At 43.5% G+C, this 24,505-nt stretch overlaps 2 protein-coding genes across 5 annotated transcripts in view, besides 2 other annotated features; one reads left to right on the top strand and one right to left on the bottom strand.

The window, feature by feature from the left end:
• The window catches only part of CDC123 (cell division cycle 123), a 54,402-nt gene extending 46,229 nt beyond the window's left edge, over positions 1-8,173 (bottom strand). For both annotated transcript variants that reach the window (NM_006023.3, XM_005252638.5), the window contains exons 1-2: positions 8,042-8,173; positions 5,585-5,656 (exon numbers count right to left, since the gene is read on the bottom strand). In NM_006023.3, coding sequence (NP_006014.2) covers positions 5,585-5,656; positions 8,042-8,115 — 146 coding nt within the window. In that variant the 5' untranslated portion in view covers positions 8,116-8,173. The remainder of the gene's footprint in view (positions 1-5,584; positions 5,657-8,041) is intronic.
• Positions 8,157-8,426: an enhancer, noted in NCBI's record as "active region_3037". NCBI's record gives its function as "activates an Ori minimal core promoter by ATAC-STARR-seq in GM12878 lymphoblastoid cells {active_cell/tissue: GM12878}" and the evidence as "EXISTENCE:reporter gene assay evidence [ECO:0000049][PMID:35858748]".
• The window catches only part of NUDT5 (nudix hydrolase 5), a 30,562-nt gene continuing 14,526 nt past the window's right edge, over positions 8,470-24,505 (top strand). For 2 of the 3 annotated variants that reach the window (NM_001321647.2, NM_014142.4), the window contains exons 1-3: positions 8,470-8,591; positions 18,029-18,132; positions 19,405-19,472. In NM_001321647.2, the coding sequence (NP_001308576.1) occupies positions 18,070-18,132; positions 19,405-19,472 (131 nt within the window). In that variant the 5' untranslated portion in view covers positions 8,470-8,591; positions 18,029-18,069. Of the gene's footprint in view, positions 8,592-18,028; positions 18,133-19,404; positions 19,473-23,871; positions 23,967-24,505 lie in introns of all 3 variants that reach the window. The other variant, NM_001321648.2, reaches the window with a different exon arrangement.
• Positions 13,433-14,283: an enhancer, noted in NCBI's record as "H3K27ac-H3K4me1 hESC enhancer chr10:12232077-12232927 (GRCh37/hg19 assembly coordinates)". NCBI's record gives its function as "activates a minimal SCP1, AML or CMV promoter by ChIP-STARR-seq in naive H9 embryonic stem cells {active_cell/tissue: H9 hESC(naive)}" and the evidence as "EXISTENCE:reporter gene assay evidence [ECO:0000049][PMID:30033119]".

The raw sequence follows: 24,505 nt of genomic DNA, 5'->3' as shown, positions 1-24,505 counted from the left end.
TTTCAGATTTTCTAATTAGGGATGCTCAACTCATTTTACTATTCAGCCTTAAGGGAGACAAGGTCAGGAAAGAACTCGTGACCAAGAAGAAACAATGAGGATTAGTGCCTGGAAGGGAGGTACCACCTGCGTCAGACCCAGTGTGTGGGCTCAGTTCAAGTATCACCTTACTGTAAACACTTTCTGGATGACCCCAGCTCACAGTGATTAATTAAACCCCAAATACATTACTTATCAGAATACCTGATACTTTTTTTTTTTTTTTTTTGAGACAAGGTCTTGCTCTGTTGCCCAGGCTGGAGTGCAGAGGCATGATCATAGCTCACTGCAGCCTCCAATTCCTGGGTTCAAGCCATCCTTGTGTGTCAGCCTCCTGAGCAGCTGGGACTACAGGTGTGTGCCAACACGCCCAGCTAATTTCTTATTTTTTTGTAGAGATGGGGCCCCACTATGTTGGCCAGACTGGTCTCCATCTCCTGGCCTCAAGTGATCCTCTTACCTCCGCCTCCTAAAGTGCTAGATTACAGGCATGAGCCACCACAGCTGGTTGATGCTTTTATTCAAAAACATTTTTCGCAACACAACTCAAGACATTTATTTATTTATTTATGTTTGACTTGCTAATAAGCCTAGACTCCTACGGTAGGATGCCCTGCTCATCTTGTTACGCTAGTATCAAGCTTGGTGCCCGTTTCCTTGGTGCCCATCTCATACTAGGCATGCAATAACTGTTCAGTGAAATTGAATCACTGTCTCTATCAGAAAAGCACATTGCCAGCCTCCTTTCCTACACCCACAGCAGGCAACGAGAATCAAACCAAGCATGCTTTCTCACCGAACCCTGGATGCAGCCTCAGAATCCTCTACATATCACTCCAGGAAACCATTACCATTAGATCTGAGTCGGCAAACAAGGTAAACTAGTCATCATACTTGGCCTATTCTATTCACTGAACTCAGTAGAGGTTACCATGGAGAGAAAGTAGGATAAGCATGTTCATTCACTCATTCAACCAATATTTATTGAACCCAGACTATGTGCTAAATTCTAACTGTAAACAAGACTATACCTTATAGAGTCTGGAAAGAAAGGCATGTACTATATGTGGAAGTAATGGAGGATGAGGCATGAAGAATTAGGGTCCATGGCAGACCTCCACAGCCATCTCCCACTTTCTTGTGAAGTACAAAGAGCTTCCGGATAGCTGAACACATGGAGCTTCTGGAAGGTGGCACGTGTAGGTAGGGCATGGAAGATCTGCATCCCTTCCCCTACACCTCACCCTACGCATCTCTTCATCTGTATCCATTATTAATATCCTTTATTTTTGTTTGTTTGGTTTTTTGAGACGGAGTCTCGCTCTGTCGCCCAGGCTGGGGTGCAATGGTGCGATCTCAGCTCACTGCAACCTCCACTTCCCAGGTTTAAGTGATTCTCCTACCTAAGCTTCCTGAGTAGCTGGGATTACAGGAGTGCGCCACCACGTCTGGCTAAGTTCTGTATTTTTAGTAGAGATGTGGTTTCGCCATGTTGGCCAAGCCGGTCTCAAATTCCTAACCTCAAGTGATCCGCCCGCCTTGGGCTCCCAAAGTGCTGGGATTACAGGCGTGAGCCACCACACCAGGGCTGTAACATCCTTTATGATAAACCGGTAAACCGAAGTAAATGTTTCCCTCAGTTCTGCGAGCTGCTCTAGCAAATGAATCAAACCCAAGGAGGGACCCTCATTTCTAGCCGCCTGGTCAGTTGCACAGGTAGAGGCACCTGGGGCTTGCAGCTGACATCAGAGTGGGGGGCAGTCTTTGTGAGACTGAGCCTCAACCTGTGGGATCTGATGCTCCTCCAGGTAGACAGTGTCAACTGAATTGGACTGGAGGACCCTTAGCTGGTGTCTGCTGCAGAACCGATTGCTTCTTGGTGGGAAGAAAACCCCACACATGTGGTCACAGAGGTCTTCTGTGTTGATTGTTGTGGTGTGAGAGCAGAGGAAAAACGGTTTGCATTTTTTCCACTTACACAGACATAAAAGAATACATACTATATAACTCCACTTATACGAAATTCTAGAACTGACGAAACTGAACTAAGAAAGGGACAAGAGAAACCTTTCTGGGGAATGAAAGTGTTCCATGTTTTGAATGGAGTGACGGTGAAACAGGTGTAACCATTTAGCAACATTCGCCAAGTTGTACACTTAAGACCTATACATTTTATCATAAATGTACCTCATTTAAATTATACTTAAAATTTTCAAGTTTTTATCTGTAGAAGTAACCTAACCTAAAATCACTAACTTTTCAAAATTCTCAACAGATTGTGAGGTTTCAAAAAGGCTCCACAGACAATGCTTCTCTCAACCTGAGCAAATGACCATCTTCATTCATCTAGTTGTTCTATTAGTAATCTGAGAGGAATTCTTGACACATTCCTGTCATCAAGTTCTGAAGGTGCAAGCTCCCAATCTTCTGAAACCCACTTCCTCCCTCAACCCCACTGTCACCATCTTAGTTCAAGCCACTAGCAGGTCTCACCCAGTCAAATGCAATATCCTCCTAACCCGTCTTCCATTTCCACAGTCACCTGCCACAGCTGCAAACTGAAATCTGATCGAGTCATTCTCTTGCTCAGAGCCCTTCAATGCCTTCCTGACGTTCTCAGAATAAATTGCAGCATCTTTAACATGACTCCCACACACACCCCTAATCTTAACTGTCCTCCCCCATGTCATCAACTGTGAATCTCATGCCACTTACCCTTCTCTCACTCCCCATACTCTAGCTACATGACCTTTCCCAAGCTTCTTGTATGTCAAGATCTTCCAGGCCTAGAGCCTTCATTAATGCTGTTCCCCCCACCTGGAAGATTCTTCCCTTCACCCTTCAACTGACTACATTCCTCCAATCTTCACATCTCAGAGGCTCCAAAGATCCTTCTTCGGAGCATTCCCCGACCCTCCTCGCGATCCTCAGCTCTCCCAGCAATTTAAGGGTAATGACCACCCCACTTTCTGCATAGCACTTATCCCAATTTTCATTATATATTCTCTTGTGTGTTTGCTATGTTCATCTTAGATCAATGATAATAAAAGTAGTTCCATGTTTTAAGAGCATACAATATAGTGGGCATTAGACTGAACATTTTATGTATTATCACTTTGTATCTTTGCAATGACCCTACAAAGTAAGTTCTATACTGTCATTTGCCCAATATTCAGACAAGGAAACTGAGGCACAGAGGGAAGGGCTAGAAAATAGCAAAGATATTACTTAAAATTAAGCAATCTGACTAAAGAAACAGCACCATGCCATGCTGGCTTTCACAAATATGAAGCTGAACTGTCAACTCCAAAAGGGCAGGGTCCCTATGTGATTTGTGGGTTACTGTAAAGCACTGTATCGTGTTGTTTAACAGTACTTTTTTTTTTTTGAGACGAAGTTTAGCTCTTGTTGTCCAGGCTGGAGCGCAATGGCATGATCTCGGCTCACTGCAACCTCCACCTCCTGCGTTCAAGTAATTCTCCTGCCTCGGCTTCCCGAGTAGTAGGAATCAGAGGTGCCCACCACCATGCCCGGCTAATTTTTGTGTTTTTAGTAGAGATGAGGTTTCACCATGTTGGTCAGGCTGGTCTTGAACTCCTGACCTCAGGTGATCCACCCAACTCGGCCTCCCAAAGTGCTGGGATTACAGGCATGAGCCACCGCGCCCAGCCCTGTTTAACAGTATTTAACATCAGTGCTTGCCTAAGCCACAGGCCATGCAAACATCTGGCCAGGGAGAATCATCATAGGAGCTCTTCAACATGTTTACACTACTGAGATTTACCAATTATTTTCTAATATTAAAAGCTATTTTACTTATAGTCTCATTTACATAAGCTTATTATATATAAGCTCATTTATAAAGCAAATAGGTACACGTATTTGAGAATAAAACTGACTGGGCACAGTGGCTCACGCCTGTAATCCCAACACTTTGGGAGGCTGAAGCAGGTGGATCACCTGAGGTCAGGAGTTCAAGACAGCCCGGCCAACATGGTGAAACCCCATCCCTACTAAAAATACAAAAATTAGCTGGATGTGGTGGCGCACACCTGTTGTCCCAGCTAGTTGGGAGGCTGTAGCAAGAAAATCACTTGAACCTGGGAGGCAGAGATTGCAGTGAGCTGAGATTGAGCCACTGCACTCCAGCCTGGCTGACAGAGCAAGACTCCATCTTTAAAAAAAAAAAAAAAAAAAAAAATGCCGAGTGCGGTGGCTCAGGCCTATAATCCCAGCACTTTGGGAGGCCGAGGCAGCCAGATCACGAGGTCAGGAGATCAAGACCATCCTGGCTAAGACAGTAAAACCCCATCTCTACTAAAAATAAAAAAAATTAGCCAGGCGTGGTGGTGGGCGCCTGTAGTCCCAGCTACTTGGAGGCTGAGGCAGGAGAATAGCGTGAACCCGGGAGGCAGACCTTGAAGTGAGCTGAGATCACGCCACTGCACTCCAGCCTGGGTGACAGAGCGAGACTCTGTCTCAAAAGAAAAACAAAACAAAAAAAATTATATCTGTAAATATCCTAAAGTTGAGACTTATCTGACTTTCCTACTGTTTCCTCAGCCTCAAATTATTCAAAGTTAATGAGGCGCTACATTAATAATTTTCAGGTTATTGAGGCTCTGTGAATACCAAAAACAGAAATATAATCCAGAAAACCACACTAAAAACCCAACAGGCAAAAATATGGGGTCCAGTTAGTAGTACTGAAAACACACAATTCTTACTGTATTTCTATAGTTCCTTCATCCAACAAATGTTTATCAAGCACTTCTGCTATATCAGGCACTGTTCCATGAGCTGGGGTGAACAAATGGGCCAAGTCCCTGTTTTCATGAAACTGCATTCTAATGGAACAATTAACAATTGTCAGGTGGAAGTAAGTGTTATGCAGAAAAATGAAGGGAGGTCAGGGCATAGGGTTACTGTCAGGCTATTTTAGAAAGGCTGGTGAGGGCTGAACACTCATAACGTGACTTCTGAGCAGACTCGAATTAAAAAATGAGAACTTCACTAAATCCTATGATTCTTCAACGTTTTCAAGTTTGCATCCAAAAGACTGAAACACAGTAACTTCTTCCCTTTATTCTATAAATAGGGAAACTACCTGAACAGCTTCTAGAAAGTGGAGGGGGGGCCACGGTAGTTCAATCGTGGGGAAGAAAATGTTGAGGAATTAGATGATAAAGCCTGTTTGCAACAGTGAATTTTTAATCGTCAAAACTGAAGGATCTCAAAGAATTTTAATATGTACTTCCCCCACCCTGCTACCGTCAGAAGGAAAAGTTGTCATCATAACTGTTTTCTAAAGACAGAGATGAAAGGAACTGCTCAATTTCACAACTTGTAATTATTAGAGGGAAAAGTACTTAATGTTGAAAATATTAAGTGAACATTGAGAAGGAATATGAGACAAAGATCAGCACATCATTTTGGCTAGGAGAGAAAAAGAGCTAAAGGGAAAGAATGGTGCCTAAGCTAATTCATTCATTTTATGTGTTTCTTTATGATAAAGTTTAAGAAATTTTTTTCTAAAATACTTTACCTTCCTGAAACCACCAGAGTTCCATCATCGAGTAAATAATCCTTCACATTCTGAGGAAGTGGAAGAATGACACTAAAAAAAAAACACCAAAAAAGGCATCATTTTAAAAGACCAACTATAAGCAGAGAGAAAAATCTCTACACTTGATTAATTTTGGAATTGTCTTTCTTTTAATATAAAGTAGAAAATGTTAATGATGTACATTTGGTAGCAGTAGACAAGAAATCAGAATAATAAGATTACTGCGGTTCATCTTATTGCCACAATGGTCTTTGTAGTAAACAAAAACCAGCCAAATCCAAACCACCAGATGGAAATCACAGTATGAAAGCAACAAGCTCAAAAGGATTCTGAGTGAGCACAACATTTATGTGTCTTTAAGAAATCAGAGACCAGCAGATATTTGCTGCAACACAGGAAATGCAGCAAACCCAACTAGAAGATGACTAGCATTTGGTCACCTTCTAAAGATAGAGGGCAGAAGTAGAGTCAAGATCTGGAAACCATTCTTGGGTTGGCAGTGAGCACCTACCGCTAAGAATTCATGATACTTTTGGATGTGTCTTGCTGGCTTTCTATTCAACTGATCACCAGAGATATAAAGCTGCTTAAACTAGGCATGCTTTAGCTTAATTTGTTTCAGGTAATCATAATTAAGGATGGCAAAGCCATACCTGAAGTCTCTTAAAAACTTATGGGATAATTTGTTTTTTACCTTGAAATAATAAATTATCAAAAAGCCCTACCACAGATCCCTAAGAGTGCTGGTATTATTTTGATTTTGAGGCATATACATCTTCAAAAAGTGGAAAAGATTACAGCCTGCTTTCCCGAAGTTAACAGAACATCAATGACTTATAACATGTCTCATTTATTTATGGAAGAAGTTTTTTTTGGCACATTACAAATGGTTTTTTTGCACAAAAAAGAGTATTCATGGGCTACTTCGGTTTTAAAAATAAGTATTTTTATTTATTTTTAAATAAATAAAAGATCACTGCCACTGCACTCCAGCTTGGGCGACAGAGCAAAAACTTCGGTTTTAAAAATAAATATTTGATTTATCAAAGGTACAATTTCACATTCAAAAATCTAGTTCTGGCCGGGCGCGGTGGCTCACACCTGTAATCCCAGCACTTTGGGAGGCCGAGGCGGGCGGATCACGAGGTCAGGCAATCGAGACCATCCTGGCTAACACGGTGAAAACCCCGCCTCTACTAAAAATACAAAAAATTAGCCGGGGGTGGTGGCGGGCGCCTGTAGTCCCAGCTACTCAGGAAGCTGAGGCAGGAGAATGGCGTGAACTCGGGAAGGGAAGCTTGCAGTGAGCCAAGATCGCTGCCACTGCACTCCAGCTTGGGCGACAGAACAAAACTCTGTCTCAAAAAAAAAAAATCTAGTTCTTCAGGCTTTTAATTTCTTCTAACAAATCTTATTACGTTTGAAAATCTACTAAATTTTAAACAATTTCAAGCGAAACTTTGCAACTTAAAAGTCTCTTTAAAATTTTAAATTCTATTCATAAACCACTCAATTTTCTTTCTTAATATGTCTATTTGCTGATTACAAATAAGCCTTCCTAAGTATTTTACTCTTACAAAGCTAACAAGCGAAATTGTTAAGTACAATGAATCTAAGGTTCTACCACACATTCCAATACTATTTAAGAACTTGAAACTTTTCTTATACATTTTAACCATTCTAAGCCAGTTACACATTTTCAAGTACATATCCGATCTTTATTGAATGAAACCATCATATAATGAATCAGCAATTACTGAAATGTTGGCTCAGAAAATCAGTTAAGTGCAAAGCCCAGATTTTCTATCAACGCCTTTAAAAAAACTGAGAGATGAAATTGTATATATTAATACTTGCCGCCTACCTGATGTTTTTAAGTATATATACACTGTGGAATAAATTTAGCTAACAAATGCATTGCCTAACATAGTTATTTTTGTGGTGAGAACACTAACATCCACTCTCCGTTTTTCAAGAATACGTATATCGTCATTAACTATAGCCTCCATGCTGTACGACATATCTGTGAACTTGTTCTCGTATCTAACTGTAATTACGTATCCTTTCACCTTCCCAATCTCCATCCTCTGGGGTGATGGCGAAAAGCAATTAATTCTCCGAGTGCACTTAGGCAGTGATCACCTTGCGCCTGGGGCCATTCTAAAAGTAGTGGTGGTGAACTCCCAAGCCTAAACTAGGTTAATCCACTATTCCTCCCGCCTCCGACCCTCACTGAAAACCACAACTGACCCTCCTAGCCAGCACACTCGCTGGCTCGCAACAGGACGCAGACAATTGCTGATGTACTTCCCTCTCGACACACTCCCTCCCATGCAGTCGCTAGAAGGCCTGCATTTTTTTGGATAGCAGTAAGATTCGCTCAGAAGTCGCAGTTCCCTTTTGCCGGTCGACCGGGCGAACCCCCTCCCATCTCACCTCTTGATGGTAACGCCTCGGAAGAACGGGTACCACGCGGAGAACTGGCAGTGAAGCACATGCTCCTTCTTCATCCTCCAGCTGCCGCCGCTGCTGCCTTTCCCTCTCCTGCCTGCACCCTCCCGGAACTCTGGGCGCCGGCCCCGGAAGTGCCCGCCGAGCTATTTTGGTTCAAGGACTCTTCCGGTCCCTAAAGCAAGAAGGAAGACCGAGAAAAGGAAGCGGAGGAGAATCCCGGGGCATACGCTTGACACACACGCATACAAAAAGAGCTTTAGTCTCGAAAGAGGAATTACCGAAGTGTCGAGAGAGGAATTTTAAGAAGTTTACAACTCCGTCTTCGCCCTAAACGCACGCTGACCCGGAAAGTAATCTCCTGAAGCTAGGTCAAAGGCGGGGGTTCTACGGATGCCGGAAGGAGGGTGCGCGCCCATCCTTTTAGCACCGCGAGAGGCGCCGGTGTTTCGAGCCGTGGCACCGGCATCGGCTGACACTGCTGCCTCCAGCTAGTTATTTCGTCCTCTTCCGTTCTTCACCCCTACACCTTGGAGTAAGTAACCGGGGCAAGCCAGTCACAGCACAAAACCTCTTTGGGGAGGAGAAGAAGAAGGGGAAAGGGACCACATCTGCATGGTGCGTGCAGCCGCGCGGTGTCTCCCAGGCTGCGGCTGGGCACGCGTCCAGGCGCCCAAGAGGGAAACTGGGGATTGGAGGGAAATTGTGGATTGGAGAGGAAGAGCCTGGGCTACTCCGAGTAAAGAAAGCGGGGAACACCACAGCTAAGTGTTAGTTCCAGTGTAAAGATTGCAGCATCTGCAGAGGAGTAGAATGCTTGGTAGAGGGAATACCGCCTGTACGATCCTGGAGGGTTCGACTTTGGGAGGTAAAAGGCGAGAGGTAAATGTGAGAAAGCAGAGGAAAGAGGAGTCTCCTTGGAGCGCTGAATTCGTTTAGTCTGGCCTCGCAAAAGTTGTCAACCTGGAAAAAACGCAGATTTTTATCAGTATTCCTGCGATGATCGAATCATAAGACTGGAAGAATTCGAATCGAACTTGTACTATCGTTTTTTCCTTTGCTTCACTCCTGTCACCCAGCAAAGTTCAGTTTTGTTTGTTTCGTTAAAAGAATGAGAAGTAACTAGCTGCTTTTATTTATTTATTTGAGACGGAGTCTCACTCTGTGCCCAGATTGGAGTGCAGTGGCGCAATCTTGGCTCACTGCAACCTCCGCCTCCTGGGTTTAAGTGATTCTCCTGCCTTAGCTTCTCGAGTAGCTGAGAGCGCGCGCGCGCCACTACGCCGGCTAATTTTTGTGTTTTTAGTAGAGACGGCGTTTCACCATATTTGCCAGGCTGGTCTCGAACTCCTAACCTTAGGTGATCTGCCCGCCTCAGCCTCCCAAAGTGCTGGGTTTACAAGGCGTGAGCCACGGCCCCGGGCCTACCAACCAGCCGCTTTTAACCCCTAGTCGTGTCGCTTACCACACGAGCTTTAGGCTTGCGCGAGGCATCTGCGTCTAAAAGTATCTCCTTAAATGTACATTCTTCCTGGTTCACCTAAGTAGTTTTAAATTAGAAACAGCCCCACCGACTGCAGGCCTCTTCAGAAGGGTGTTCCTTAGAATAATAAACAATTATCTGCGTATTTTGAGTTAGAAACTCTTCCCCCCAGGAATATATACATTGTTTTGGGTTGTGTTTTGTTTTTCTCAAAAATGTTACTGGCTAAGTGGCTAGTTGGAAGCAGTGCTTTAAAGAATACATTTTCAAAGCAGAGGTAAATAGATTATAATGTTGCAGAGTATGTTGGTGGGGATGGACAGTCATGATTCATCATTTATGCCTTGATCCGGAACTATGCAGTCCTTTCTGATTTGAGGGAAAGAAGCAATATTGTATATATGTCTGGAGGGTGGTGCCAGAAAGACTTAATGGCAGACAGGAGCAGTCGCTCAAATAATTGTTTTGATTTGACTTAGAAAGTAAAAAATTGCGCGGAAGGAGATGTTAGCATCGATGGGGGATTTATTTAGGTCAGATGTTTTCTAATGAAGATAGGAATGAATGTACGGAAGAGAATAGATCCCGGGAACATAGCCCTTCTGCGAGGAGCAGTACTTTAACAGCCCAAGAAACATTTGAGCATAGGCCGGGCGCGGTGCCTCATGCCTGTGATCCCAGCACTCTGGGAGGCCGAGGCGGGCGCATCACCTGAGGTCAGGAGTTTGACCAGCCTGTCCAACATGGCGAAACCCCGTCCCTACTAAAATATCAAAAATTAGCCGGGCGTGTTGGCGCATGCCTGTAGTCCCAGCTACTCGGGAGGCTGAGGCAGGAGAATCGCTTGAATCCGGGAGGCGGAGGTTGCGATGAGCCGAGATCGCGCCACTGCACTCCAGCCTGGCAACAGAGCGAGACTCTTTTTTTTCCGTCTCGGGAAAAAAAAAAAAAAGAGTGTAGAGATTAAGGCAGTTGCAAAGCTTTAATATAGAATTGCAGTTGTGTGTAGAAAAGCAGCTAAGTTTGTAAGCTTAAATATATAGATACTACAGGGAAGGAATTTTTATAGATACCTTTTATTCAGGCAGTATACTTTAGAAGTGTGTTCAATGACTTTTTGGTATTACAGTTGGTTTTAAGTAACTTGTTACACATTTAACCAGCATCAAATAAATTGACATTATACATAGGAGATGCTCAAATACTTTGAATGGATACAGCTAAATGAGGGTTCACTGTATTTTAACCACCGTGGTTGTCTTCACTAAGCCATGAAGTCATTGTATTCATCAAGTTTCTCCAATAAAACCTTTCAACAGTGGAAATATTTGCTTTTTCTCCTGCATGCTGAAAAGTCAGTAGTCATGTGATTATGGGGGAGGAGATTTATTGTGCAATTCCTAATGAAGTAATGAAAAAACACATTTCTTTCTCTGAATCCATAGCATGACTAATCATCCTAGATTAAGATTTTCACCTGTCTGCTGGTTTTCTTCATCTGGATGTCTGCTATCACCTCAAACAAGCGTGTACAGATTTGAGCTCTGCATCACCCCTTTTTTCTTCCGATGTCCCAGTCTCCCTTAAAACTGTCTTCGTGGAAATTAAATGTCACTTTGCCACGGCTACCACTCTACTCCAGACCTGTCATCTCCTGCCTGGACTATCTTTACAGTGTCGTTACTATACGTCTGTAACCAATTCACCTTCCCAAGGGTCATTACAGTCAGTTCACTCTTGCTCAACCAGCATTAAATGTGAGGATTTTAAACCACCTGCTAAATGATTCCTGGAGATCACCAAGTAGCATAATTTCAGTAAACGTTAATTACTCCCTGCCCACCCAACTGCCACACCTGAAGAGAATGAAAAAAAAACCCATAAGTGAATTCAATTGTGGGTACCCAAATTTTTTACCATAAATGGCACAAAAGAAGGATACATCAGAATATTATCCTTTTTTTTTCTTTTGAGACAGAGTCTCGCTCTGTCGCCCAGGCTGGAATGCAGTGGTGCAATCTTGGCTCACTGCAACTGCTGCCTCCTAGGTTCAGGCTTTTCTCGTGCCTCAGTCTCCCAAGTAGCTGGGACTACTGGCGTGTGCCACCTCACCCAGCTAATTTTTTGTATTTTTAGCAGAGATGGGGGTTTCACTATGTTGGTTAGGCTCGAACTCCTGACCTCAAGTGATCCACCTGCCTTGGCCTCCGAAAGCGCTGGGATTACAGGCATGAGCCACCGAGCCCGGCCAGAATATTATCTTTTAAAAATAGAATTTAAAAATTTTTAACTATGACCAAAATTATTAAATATAACTGCAAATTATTTGATTCTTTGTTCCTTCTAAATCAAGTGACTTTTCTTTGTAATTATTCTGCCAGAATGTAGATTGCCACTTTAGACATGCCCAATTTGATGCCTGACTTTAACAAGACAATCATAAAGTAAGTTATTACTGCAAAAAAAATTGATCCTCTCTCCCACTTAATTTCTTTTCTTTTCTTTTCTTTTTTTTTTTGGAGACAGAGTCTCACTCTGTCACCATGCTGGAGTGTAGTGGCATGATCTCGGCTCACTGCAACCTCCACCTCCCTCGTTCAAGCGATTCTCCTGCCTCAGCTCCCCACTTAATTTCTTTCAAAGTGCCTTGTTGATTTCCCTATTCAATTATTAAACTGTTCCAAGTGCCTGACCCTCTTTTGTCAGTCAGAGGCTCTACTTATGATGTGGGCTCCTGCATCTTGTATTTGGTTGAGTATTGTTGATATTAACAATATTCATCTTTTATCAGGAGAGACCTAGCCAACATACAATTTCTTGTTAGGATTTTTTGCTTCACTTTGCAGCCTCAGCAGATGGCCGGGATTCGGGTACGGTGATTGAGTAATGAGCCTCAGTGCCAACTGCAGAACCAGGCTTTTGAGTTCATAGTTTAACTTCTGGAATCTAAACTCCCACTTAACTCTTTATGCAGCTGTTGTTACTAATACTGGCATACTGAAGTTGGTGAAAAATTAATCACTTCCTCCCTTTCTGTAGAGGGCTGTACTTGCTGCCTAACCCCAAAATTAGTTTATTTTGGTGTTTGTTTTTTCATTTTTTACATAGGATCTCACTATGTTTCCTAGGGTCATCATGAATTCCTCAGCTCAAGCGATCCTCCCACCTCAGCCTCCACAAGTAGCCGGGACTATAGGCACATGCAGTGCATGGCACTGGCCCCCAAAACTACCTCATATCACAACAGTAATTTGTGCCATGCCAGTTAGCTTTGTGTGCTTTGTTGGCCTGCAGTTTTGGGGGCAGAGATCCAGCCAAATCTGTGTATGGCCTTAGAAATGTGTTCGCAAATCATCATTATATGTGGAGTTGTTTTGGGAGTTTTGTGGTGGTGGTTTTTCCTTTGTGGTTTTTTTTGTTTTGTTTTGTTTTTGTTTTTGAGACGGAGTCTTGCTCTGTCGCCTAGGCTGGAGTGCAGTGGCGCAATCTTGGCTCACTGCAAGCTCCACCTCCCGGGTTCATGCCATTCTCCTGCCTCAGCCTCCTGAGTAGCCCGGACTACAGCGCCCACCACCAAGCCTGGCTAATTTTTTTGTATTTTTAGTAGAGATGGGGTTTCACCATGTTAGCCAGGATGGTCTCGATCTCCTGACCTCGTGATCCACCCGCCTCGGCCTCCCCAAGTGCTGGGATTATAGGCATGAGCCACTGTGCCCGGCCTTTCCTTTGTTTTTTAAAGGAGAAAGTGGAGGAGGAGCTTGAGAACCACAGAGCTCGCCATACACTCAGAATTTCTCACCCTTGCCCCGGTGTCTCTGCCTTTGTTCATGTGGTGTCTTCTAGTTGGAATGCTTTCTCTGCACTCTTGGTCTCTAAACCATGTCTTCACATCAAACTATCTTTTAAAAATCTTGGCTGGGTGTGATGGCTCACCCCTGTAATCCCAGTGCTGTGGGAGGCCGAGGTGGGTGGATCACTTGAGGTCAGGAGTTCGAAACCAGCCTGGCCAATATGGTGAAACCCCGTCTCTACTAAAAATGCAAAAATCAGCCGGGTGTGGTGGTACAGGCCTGTAATCCCAGCTGTTCAGGAGGCTGAGGCAGGAGAATTGCTTCAACCTGGGAGGTGGAGGTTGCAGTGAGCCGAGATCATGCCATTGCACTCCAGCCTGGGTGTTGCAGCGAGATTCAGTCTCAAAAAAAAAAAAAAAAAAAAGGCTTTATCATTTTCCTCACTGCCTCCCAAGGGGATGTGTGTGTCCCTCCTTTAAAACATCCTGGTATGGTGGTGTCTCTGAGGCAGGTCTTTGCCCCAGATGTGCTTGCTAAACTGTAACGTGCTCAAGGGCAAGCATAGTGGTCAGTGTGCACTGAGTATATACACAGACGTTTCCACTGCTGGTGCTCTCGAAGCTAGTTAGAGACTGCTAGTTAGCCTGCCACTGTGCAAGACGTCTAAAAATCTTACAGCATTTCCCCTCACTAGTGTTTTTTTTATGCTCTGGAGAATTACACATCCAACACATCCTAGACCTTCAGTGTTCAAACTGAACTGAGTTAAAACGATTTATGAGAATTAAAACAGCTTGTGACTTTAAAGACTAAGGAAAATCATAAATGAAATTGTAGAACACTCGCTGGCGCGGTGACTCACGCCTGTAATTCCAGCACTTTGGCAGGCCGAGGCGGGTGGATCACGAGGTCAGGAGATCGAGACCATCCTAACACGGTGAAACCCCGTCTCTCCTAAAAATACAAAAAATTAATCAGGCATGGTGGCAGGTACCTGTAATCCCAGCTACTTGGGAGGCTGAGGCAGGAGAATGGCATGAACCCAGGAGGCGGAGCTTGCAGTGAGCGGAGATCGCGCCACTGCACTCCAGCCTGGGCGACAAGGCAAGACTCTGTCTCAAAAAAAAAAAAAAAAATTGTAGAACACTCAACATCGTGTACATGTATCTTTTTCATACCATACACATATTGGCAATATGCAAATTACCTTAAATTCTAACTAATGAAGTGGATAAAATTTATATCAAAGTTTGCTTTTAAATCTTGAAATAGCGTTGAGTCAGTGAAGGCAAACTCCGTTGCAGTGGCGGAGACGCTGGCTTACAAAGCACGGAATTTAAAGCTCATTTCTCGTTCTTTCTGCAGCGTGTTGCTGGCAGTGACTGGCCCCCGAATGGCACTATTTGGCTTCTGCTTTTGAAATGGTGCTAAAAACAACATTCCTTTTCTGTTTCTAAAAATTTCTGAGGTACTTTTACAGTCCTTCTGAAATGTTTGGGAATCTCATAGTTAAGAATATGCTCTTGAAATAGCTCATTTTTGTCATTCACGGAATCAGTGGATTGCTGCACGATACTGTTTCCCTTTGAGGCTGATTGCATTCCAAAGAAATACTCTCTTTTAGCGGCCAGGCACGGTGGTTCACGCCTGTAATCCCAGCACTTTGGGAGGCTGAGGCTGGTGGATCACCTGAGGTCAGGAGTTCGAGGCCAGCCTGCCCAACATGGCAAAACCCCATCTCTACTAAAAATGTAAAAATTAGCCGGGTGCAGTGGTAGGAGCCTGTAATCCCAGGTACTCGGGAGGCTGAGGCAGGAGAATCGCTTGAATCCGTGAGGCAGAGGTTGCAGTGAGCCGAGATCATGCCTTTGCACTCCAGCCGGGCAACAAGAGCGAAACTCCATCTCAAAAAAAAAAGTTTACCTAATAAATTATCATCTATGGTACTTTCAAAGGAATAAGTGCCTGTTTTCTTAGTAGGGCTGCAGGTTTCAATATGCTAATGTCTGTCTCTAAATATTTAAACTTCTACGTGGTTTACTTCCTTATTGCTTTCAGGTCTCCATTCAGAAGTCACCAAATTAAACAGGCCTTGCCTGATCACTCCGTGTAGATTACTCTTCCCATCTTCCCCACACTTCTCATCCTTTTTAATCTTTCTTCATGAAACGCTGAGTCACTTGACATAAATTTTGTGTTCTTCCTCACTGTTTTTCCTTTCTCCTCACTGGAAAATGAGGTCCGGGGGAGTGAGGGTCTTTGTCCCTCTCACCACCACTTTTTTTTTTTTTTTTTTTTTTTTAGATGGAGTCTTGCTCTGTCGCCAGGCTGCAGTGCAGTGGCACGATCTCAGCTCACTGCAACCTCCATCTCCTGGGTTCAAGCCATTCTCCTCCCTCAGCCTTCCCTGTAGTTGGGGCTACAGGCGCACCCCACCACGTCCAGCTAATTTTTGTATTTTTAGTAGAGACAGGGTTTCACCATGTTGGCCAGGATGGTCTCCATCTCTTGACCTCGTGATCCACCCGCCCTGGCCTCCCAAAGTGCTGGGATTGTAGGCGTGAGGCGTGAGCCACCGCACCCGGCCTCACCGCCACTTTCCTAAAACATCATCTCACCTTTCACAGGTTGGCCACAAGGGTTACCTATGATAGTCAATCAGATATTTGATTTGTAAACGCACTTTATGAATATTCATACAGTTGGTTTTGTTATTGATTGTATTTTAGAATAGGGAAGCTTGCTGTCTTGGGGACAAATTGAAGATCAGATGGGTAGTATGATCACTTTGGGTCCCAGAAGAAACAAAGAGCAGACTCACTTTTTCCTTTAGGACAGTTGGGAAGAGAGTTGATGCTGGGTGGGCTGTATTTTCTTTGAAGCCGAAGTTAGGTGGGGTAGGTTAGAGAACCGTGGAACGTAAGAGTGCAGTGGCGTGATCTCGGCTCTCTGCAACCCCCAACTCCTGGGTCCAAATGACCCTCCTGCCTCAGCTTCCTGAGTAGCTGGGACTACAGGTGCCCACCACCACACCCGGCTAATTTTTTTATTTTTTATTTTTGTGGAGACAGGGTTTTGCCATGTTACCCAGGCTGGTCTCAGACTCTTGGTCCCCCAAAGGGCTAGGATTCCAGGTGTGAGCCACTGTGCCTGGTCCAAGTAACAGTTCTTAAAAGAAACAACAGAGAAAACACAGGGGAGGAAATCATCAGTGAAGTCGTTCAAGAAAAAAATTCCCTGTAAAGAAGCATAGTAAGAAGTTTCCAGATTGAAAGGACCCACTTGACTTCCCAGTACAATAACATCGACATGAAAGTGACTAACTACAAGCTTCCAGAGGAGGAAGACAGGTCACATGGCAAAAAGATCAAGAATAAGAATAGCTTTGGACTTCTCAACAGCAGCACCAGAAGTAAGACAACTAAGCAATGCCTTACAGTTTCATAGACAACTGGCTTTGGGTCTATAATTCTATATACAGCTGAATTAACAACCATGTGTGTGGGTAAGAAAAAAAGACTTTGACCTTCGGACAGGCAAGGTCCGAAAATGAAGGAATAAAGAAAGAGGAAATAATAATATACAATAAATGGGATAAGGGCCTGCTCTTTTCATAACAGAACTTGTAGTACTACTCGATCCTTTCTCTGCAACTATGACTTTGATACATGCTGAAACTTAAAAGTAAGTGGGGAGGTGGGTCCAGTGGCTCATGCCTGTAATCCCAGCACTTTGGGACACCGAGGCGGGAGGAGGATCGCTTGAGCCCGGGAGTCTGAGACCAGCCTGTGAAACATAGTGAGACCCCACCTCTACCAAAAGTTTAAAACATTAGTTGGCTGTGGTAGCATGCACCTGTAATCCCAGCTACTCAGGAGGCTGAGATGCGAGGAGCACGTGAGCTTGGGAGGTAGAGGCTACAGTGAGCCATGATTTCGCCACTGCACTCCAACCTGTGCAACAGAGTGAGATCTTACATCTCAAAAAATAAGTAAGTTTAGGTGTAACAGATGGATAAAAGACTGAGAGGTGGGCATGGAGAGTGGTAAATCTTTCTTCTGTCTTCCCTTGGAAAGAGTTTAAGATTCGGAGTCAGAAAAATCAGGCTGGGCGCGGTAGCTCACGCCTGTAATCCCAGCACTTTGGGAGGCCAAGGAGGGCAGATCACTTGATGTCAGGAGGTTGAGAGCAGCATGGCCAACGTGGTGAAACCCTGTCTCTACTAAAAATATAAAAATTACCAGGCCTGGTGATGTATGCCTGTAATCCCAGCTACTCGGGAGGCTGAGGCACGAGGATCACTTGAACCCAGGAGGCGGAGGTTGCAGTGAGCTGAGATCGCGCCATTGCACTCCACCCTGGGCAACAGAGTGAGACTCTCTCAAAAAAAACAAAAAAGAAAAAAAAAAAAAGAAAAATCTGATGAAGAAGGGTGGCCTCTAAGTGCCTAGAACAGGCATGGCAGGAGCTTGGCTGTTGTGGCTGAGGGTGACTAGGACTGCTGTCACTTCCTTCCTGGCTAATCCCCGGGCCTCCCTGTTCACATTTCCACCTGCGGCAGTTCCCTCACATACTGAGACAGGCAGCGTTGATGGTAGATGAATTTTTTGCCGTTTAAGTACTTTGACTAGTGTCCTGTGGACGAATGTTTAATTCAGAAAAATAATTTTAGCCTGAACAAATCTCATTATCTTGCAGGGTGAACTTCTCACCTGAGGGCTGTAAAGACTCGTTTGAAAATGGAGAGCCAAGAACCAACGGAATCTTCTCAGAATGGCAAACAGTATATCATTTCAGAGGAGGTATAACTTGTTTTTCACTTTCCCTTCCCTCCCCCACATAAATCTGAGTTTAGCAGAAATATATAGACTGTTGTTACAATGGTGGTCTTTCATTCTTGAAGACAGTTGTAAAGATTTTTCCTACTCCCTTTTTTGGGCTCGGGCACATTTTGCTCTTGTGTGGGAGGAGTAGTGTGTCTCTCTGTGTATTAGTGAAATTGAGACTCTAGGAGATTTGGGCTCTTAACAGAAAAATTCTTAATCCTTCCTGTATTTCCCTAGATAGAAGAAGAAAGAATATATGCATTTGCGGACTCAGATATTTCATATGTAGTTGTCACAACTTGGCTGTTGATGGCCTAACATGAGTGTTTAAGAACAATAAAAACCTACGTTGTTAATTGTAGTCTAAATTCCAGTGAATTCTAGAACCAATGTATGTCTCTGTGTTATTCAATTTAGCTTTAAAAGTCTCTTCCTGCAGGAACCATTGCAGTGGATAAATTTTAAATCCTTCATCTTGGATCTCTGATCTTGACACCTTTCTGGAATTCCTTTTGGTTTAAAATCTTTCCATGTTGTCTGTGAACAGATCTGCTGAAAATGATTAGGTTGCTGCTGGCAAGAAGTGAAAGATAGGATAGTAGGAGAAAGGCTACTGCTTTATACGCAGTGACGCTTTCCTCTCAGTTCAGTATAGTGCCGTAGGTAAGTTAGTCTCCAACACCAGAACTCCCCAGTGTCTAGGCAGAACGAACCTGGGGTGTCCATCTGTGGTTGGGTGGGAAACCCACGTGTCATGATAGGAGATCCAATCCTGGATGGACCCTGTTTCCCCACAGTCCGCCTTCCTGTGTCATCACTGACAGGAAAAATACCAGTGTCTAGAAATGGCCATTTCTACATATGAAACTCACCTGTGTTGTATGCACCCAGGTCAGGGGACAGACCATCAGGAGCGTCCCAGGACACCCTCACCCCATGTGCTCCCTTCCAGTTACCTCCATGCCCCACCCCTTCCCCCAGCCCCCAGGAGTTTTTAGACTGTCATTTCTTTTCACCTGTTAACTACTACCACCAAGAAATTTCAAAAAGAAGCAGAAGTGCCCTTTAAAAAAACAACCCTGAATACCTACCTACTCTGAACTGAAAAACGTGCCCACAGATTATTGGGAAGGAAAGATGATTATTGGGAGTCTGGGGAAAGACAGAGGAAATGTGAAAGAAAAACCCTTTTAGATAAAAACAACTTGGTTTGAAAGTTTCCCAACTTATTATCTGATATCCTTTTAGTTAATTTCAGAAGGAAAATGGGTCAAGCTTGAAAAAACAACGTACATGGATCCTACTGGTAAAACTAGGTAAACTTTTTTTTTTTCTTACAAAATGTTCGTTATTTGGGTTCTCAGGTTATCTGTTGAGTGTTTTGCATAAACTTTGATGTTTTCTTTTTTGTAAACTCTGTTTTAAATAATCTGATTTAGCTGTTTTTCCAGTGTTAGGATGTTTGCATCATTTATAGTTGCTGAATAAAATTGGGTTGTAAATGTGTTACAATAACTAATCAGAAAACTATTTTAATACCATTCTCCCTAAGTAGACAAGTGTAGACCTAAAACTTTTGGGCCAAACCTAATTTAAGCTGATAAGGTGACAGAATAATTAACAGTACATGTTGCTTCCTTCTAGTAAAATCTGTTTTTAATTTCTAAATTAGAAGAAATAAAGAGAAAACAACAACATTGCTAATTTTGAGGTACGTGCCTGCCTCATGGAAATGCAAATTGGGAAAAAAACATTTTGTACACCCTATTTCATAATATGTGTCAGTAGCCCTAAAGATACTGTACCCTTTGACCGAGTAATCCCAGTTTTAACAAAGTGTTAAGGGCCAGGTGTGTTGGCTCACGCCTGTAATTCCAGCACTTTGGGAGGCCAAGGGTGGGGGCCGGGGCGGGGGGCATCGGTTGAGGTCAGGAGTTCAAGACCAGCCTAGGCAACATGGCGAAACCCCATCTCTGCTAAAAATACAAAAAATAGCTGGGCCTGGTGGCCCTGTAATCCCAGCTACTTGGGAGGCTGAGGCAGGAGAATTGCTTGAACCCGGGAGGCGGAAGTTGCAGTGAGCTGAGATCACACCACAGCACTCCAGCCTGGGTGACAGAGTGAGACTCTGTCTCAAAAAAACAAAAACAACAACAACAAAAAGAAAGTATTAAGTAAATTAGCATTCAGAATTAAATTTATGTATAGAAAATGTTCACCAAAATTTTAAAAGAAAAACTGAAAGCAACCTAAATATCTTAAAAATAGGAAATGAATTGTTATAGTGTATTCCCTTGGTAAAATCTCTGCAGCCGTCTAAAAAGCAGATTCTGAAGACAACCTAGCAATATGGGAAAAGCTCCTAAGTTGATAACAAAGTAGAAAAGTATGTATATGCTTTTCAAACTCTGCCAAATAACGTGTAAGAAAAAGCCGGAAGGAAAATTATAGCAAAATGGGAAAAAAGCTGTGTGGTTAACCTTTTTTCTTTTACTTTCCAGATTTTTGCATAGCAATCTTTTGATATTATAAACTATAAGAAGAAAATACTATGAAAATTAATTTTTTACTTAGTGAAATTTAAATGGAGTACAACAGAATGAGGATGAAATTTAGTAACCAGATCACGTGATAAAAATTCATCAGTATGAGAACTCCATTTGCAAAGTGATCCAATAAGAGTACATGATTTCTTTGTGATGAAATAGATCGTCAAGATGCAAATACATGGGCTTGCCAGTCATCTGAACAACTGTGATTATATCTACTAAACTAGCAAAGCCCTTAATAAGGCCTAATGTGGGAGAGCTGTAGGAAACATGTTAAGAGATAGATAGCACTGCTGAATTAAAACCCAGCAGTAAGAAAGCTAAGCACAGTATGATCCACCAACCATGAAAGACTGTAACTCTTCACTTAAGATGCCAAGTGAGTTTGATATGGAAAACTAAATGTACAAAATAAGTAGGGCCCAAACCCGATACAGAAATGTGGCAAGGCCCAAGTCTTAGGGAGCACCATATGTTCAAATGTATTTATATTTGTGAAACTATAGAGAGGTTGGAACCCAATGTATAGTGATACAGTTTGGTTCTCTTTTGCCTGTCAAATTAAGTTTATAACACAAAACATAGCCCTCAACTCTAATGAGTCTAAACATGTGTTTGAGGCCAAGCGCAGTGGCTCACGCCTGTAATCCCATTACTTTGGGAGGCCAAGGTGGGTGGATCACTTGAGGTCAAGAGTTCGAGACCAGCCTGGCCAACATTGTGAAACCCCGTCTCTACTAAAAATACAAAAATTAGCCCAGCGTGGTGGCATGCGCCTGTAATCCCAGCTACCCCGGAGGCTGAGACAGGAGAATTGCTTGAGCCCGGGAGGAGGTGGTTGCAGTGAGCCGAGACTGCACCACTGTACTCCAGCCTGGGCGACAGAGCGAGACTCCATCTCAAAAAATAAAAATAAAATAAAAAGATGTGTTCGCGCCAGCTCATCTCTTCGCCTGACTGGTCTTCTGCCCTTCCTGCATTTCCTAATCAGGGATGTACATCAGAATCATATGGGGACTTTTCTGAAAATACGACGAAATCTCACTTCAGAATATCTATTTCAGTAGATTGGGAGTAGGCTCTAAAATCCACCAAACTACCATATTTATAGCATGGTCATGTCCATTCTTCCATACATAGGGTTTTTTTCCTGGCCTCTGAAGAGGATTTATGTAAAGCACTAATATTTTATACCAGAATGTCACCCTTTGAAGAATGAGTCTTTGTACTTTCCTGTATGCCACGATGTATAATTTATAGGATGTGTTATCTCTGACCTGATATAAAAGCCTGCGTGTACAGGTTGAGCAGCCCTAATCTGAAAATCTGAAATTCAAAATGCTGCAAAATCCAAAACCTTTTCATTGCCAACATGATGCCCCAGCTGGAGAATTCCACACCTGACTCTGTGTGACAGGCTGCAGTCAGAACACAGGCATACAACACAGACATTCAGTGTCCCCCCAGGGGAAAAGGAACCCTCCCCTTCAGCTCAGCTATATCCTTCTTTTTTTTTTTTTTTACCCTGAGACAGAGTCTTGTTCTGTTGCCCAGGCTAGAGTGCAATGGTGTGGTCTCAGCTCACTGCAACCTCTACCTCCCTGGTTCTAGCAATTCTATCTCAGCCACTCGAGTAGCTGGGACTAGAGGTGCATGCCACTGGGCCTGGCTGATTTTTGTATTTTTAGTAGAGGCAGTGTTGTTGGCCAGGATGGTCTGAAACTCCTGACCTCAGGTGATCCACCCACCTTGGCCTCCCAAAGTGCTAGGACTACAGTCGTGAGCCACCGCATCCGGCCATATCCTTTTTTTTTAAATTTATTTAATTTTTATTTTTTTAGTAGAGACAGAGTCTCACTATGTTGCCCAGGCTGGTCTCGAACCCCTGAACTCAAGCAGTCCTCCTACCTTGGCCTCCCAAAGTGCTGGGGTTTCAGGCGTGAGCCACCACACCCGGCCCGATATATCCTTTGCACGCACACGGCGACTTCCCTCTGCAGGTACTCCCACAGAGGGTCATGAAATGGCATGTGTGCAGACCGGATGCCCAGCAGCAGTTCCCCACAACACCCTACACAGGGCTGAGACCTATGTGCATGACTCATTGTGGGGTTCTTTGGCTTATTTCCTGCTCTGTGGGGTAAAGATACTGTTCAAAATGTCAAAAAGGCCTGCATGACACCCAGAGGGTAAGGCAAATATTTCAAAATCTGAAAAACCAAACTCTGAAACACTTCCGGCCCCTCGTTTCGGGTAAGGAATACTCAACCTGTACAGCTGTCACTTGGTGTCTGTCGGGGTTGGTTCCAGGACCCCCTGCAGATACCAAAATCCACAGATGCTGAAGTCCCTGATATGAAAATGCAGATACTCAGTATGTATTTGCCTCTAACCTATGCACATCCTCCCACGCACTTCATCTCTAGAGTAATCACAGCACCTAATACAATGCAAATGCTGTGTCAACAGTCGTACTCTATTGTTTAGGGAATAATGGCAAGAAAAAGTGTGGACCTGTTCAGTATAGATGCAATTTTTTTCCTAAATATTTTCAATGGGTGGTTGGTTGAATCCATGAATGCAGAACCCACGGATATGAAGGGCCGAGTCTAAGAGATAAAATAGCAGCTAGAGAATCCTATGTTCCACCGTCTCATTCATGAAAGGGGATGTGGGGTTAATTTTAGAAATATAAAAATATTCCAGTAGTGTTGTGTCTATTGACATTCAAGACAGTGCCGAAGTCACCCTCTGACCCTCCCGCCTCTTGTGTTGGTGAACTAGAGGGAGGAAGGCCAACAGGCTTTTCCATAACAAAGAAGACTAGGAATAGGATGATCTCACTGGAAGCAGAATCCTAAAGCTAGAAGAGGTTTTGGAGAAAACATACTCATTCCTGCTTTTTACAAAGGAGGGAAGAGCCTCAGGGAGGCTGGAGCTCTGGGCTTAGCTGGCGGGCAAGTAGAGACGAAGAGCTGACTTCCAGTCAGCTGTGCATCTCACAGGCCCTTTGAAGTTGTTGGAGCTCTCACTGGGCAATCTTATTCCGAGATTTCTTATCAATGCGTTTCTGTTTTATTGCTGGTGATTTATGGCTCGTTACTGCTTGTTTCCTTCACCTTAACCACGATAATGATGCTCCTCTTTTTGTTTCCCTTATTCCTAGTGTTTGGGATGGGACCTTCAGTGCTTTTCCCAGCACTGTCTTCTTCAGTCTTTAGGACTAACCTTAGGAGGCAGCAGAGAGAGCTATGCCAAAAGGTGTTCATCTCTTGCAATCTGTATGATTTACTTACCAGCATTGCTTGTTGGTCAGCTCCTTGCTACTAACAGGAATGTTGGGCTGCTGTGAGTTGTCATAGAAGTCTGTTTGATTTTCCTGTGTTCATTTTGACATATTTGGCCTTCGGAATTTGGGTACAATGCTGAAAGACCTACAATTTCCAGACAGTCTTTTTGTTTTGTTTTTTAAAAAGCAAATTAAATATTTGAACAATTTTAATGAAAATATGACAAGGTCCAAATTTTAAGGACAGCCGGATAGGAAGCATGAGCAGGAGGGTTCCGAGGAGGATATCTTGCAGCTCTTACTATCGAGATGCAGGTGGTAACTCCTTTTTATCCCAAGCCCCAGAGCCACCCACATGTTTCACTTCCTTTAAAAGAGATCCTAAAATTGTTTGCTTCTCCACTCTGGTCTCTTACCACTGCTTTTTTCTGTTGTAGGGAGAAGAGAGTGAAGGGAGAATGTTCCTTTTATGCCTCGCCCCTTTAAACTGCATAATTGTGTCAGTAACTGG

This window comes from Homo sapiens, chromosome 10, assembly GCF_000001405.40.
Source record: "Homo sapiens chromosome 10, GRCh38.p14 Primary Assembly".
In the NCBI taxonomy this organism is placed as follows: domain Eukaryota; kingdom Metazoa; phylum Chordata; class Mammalia; order Primates; family Hominidae; genus Homo; species Homo sapiens.
Note: the sequence above shows the minus strand (reverse complement) of the source record. Positions and strands in the feature narration are given on the sequence as shown.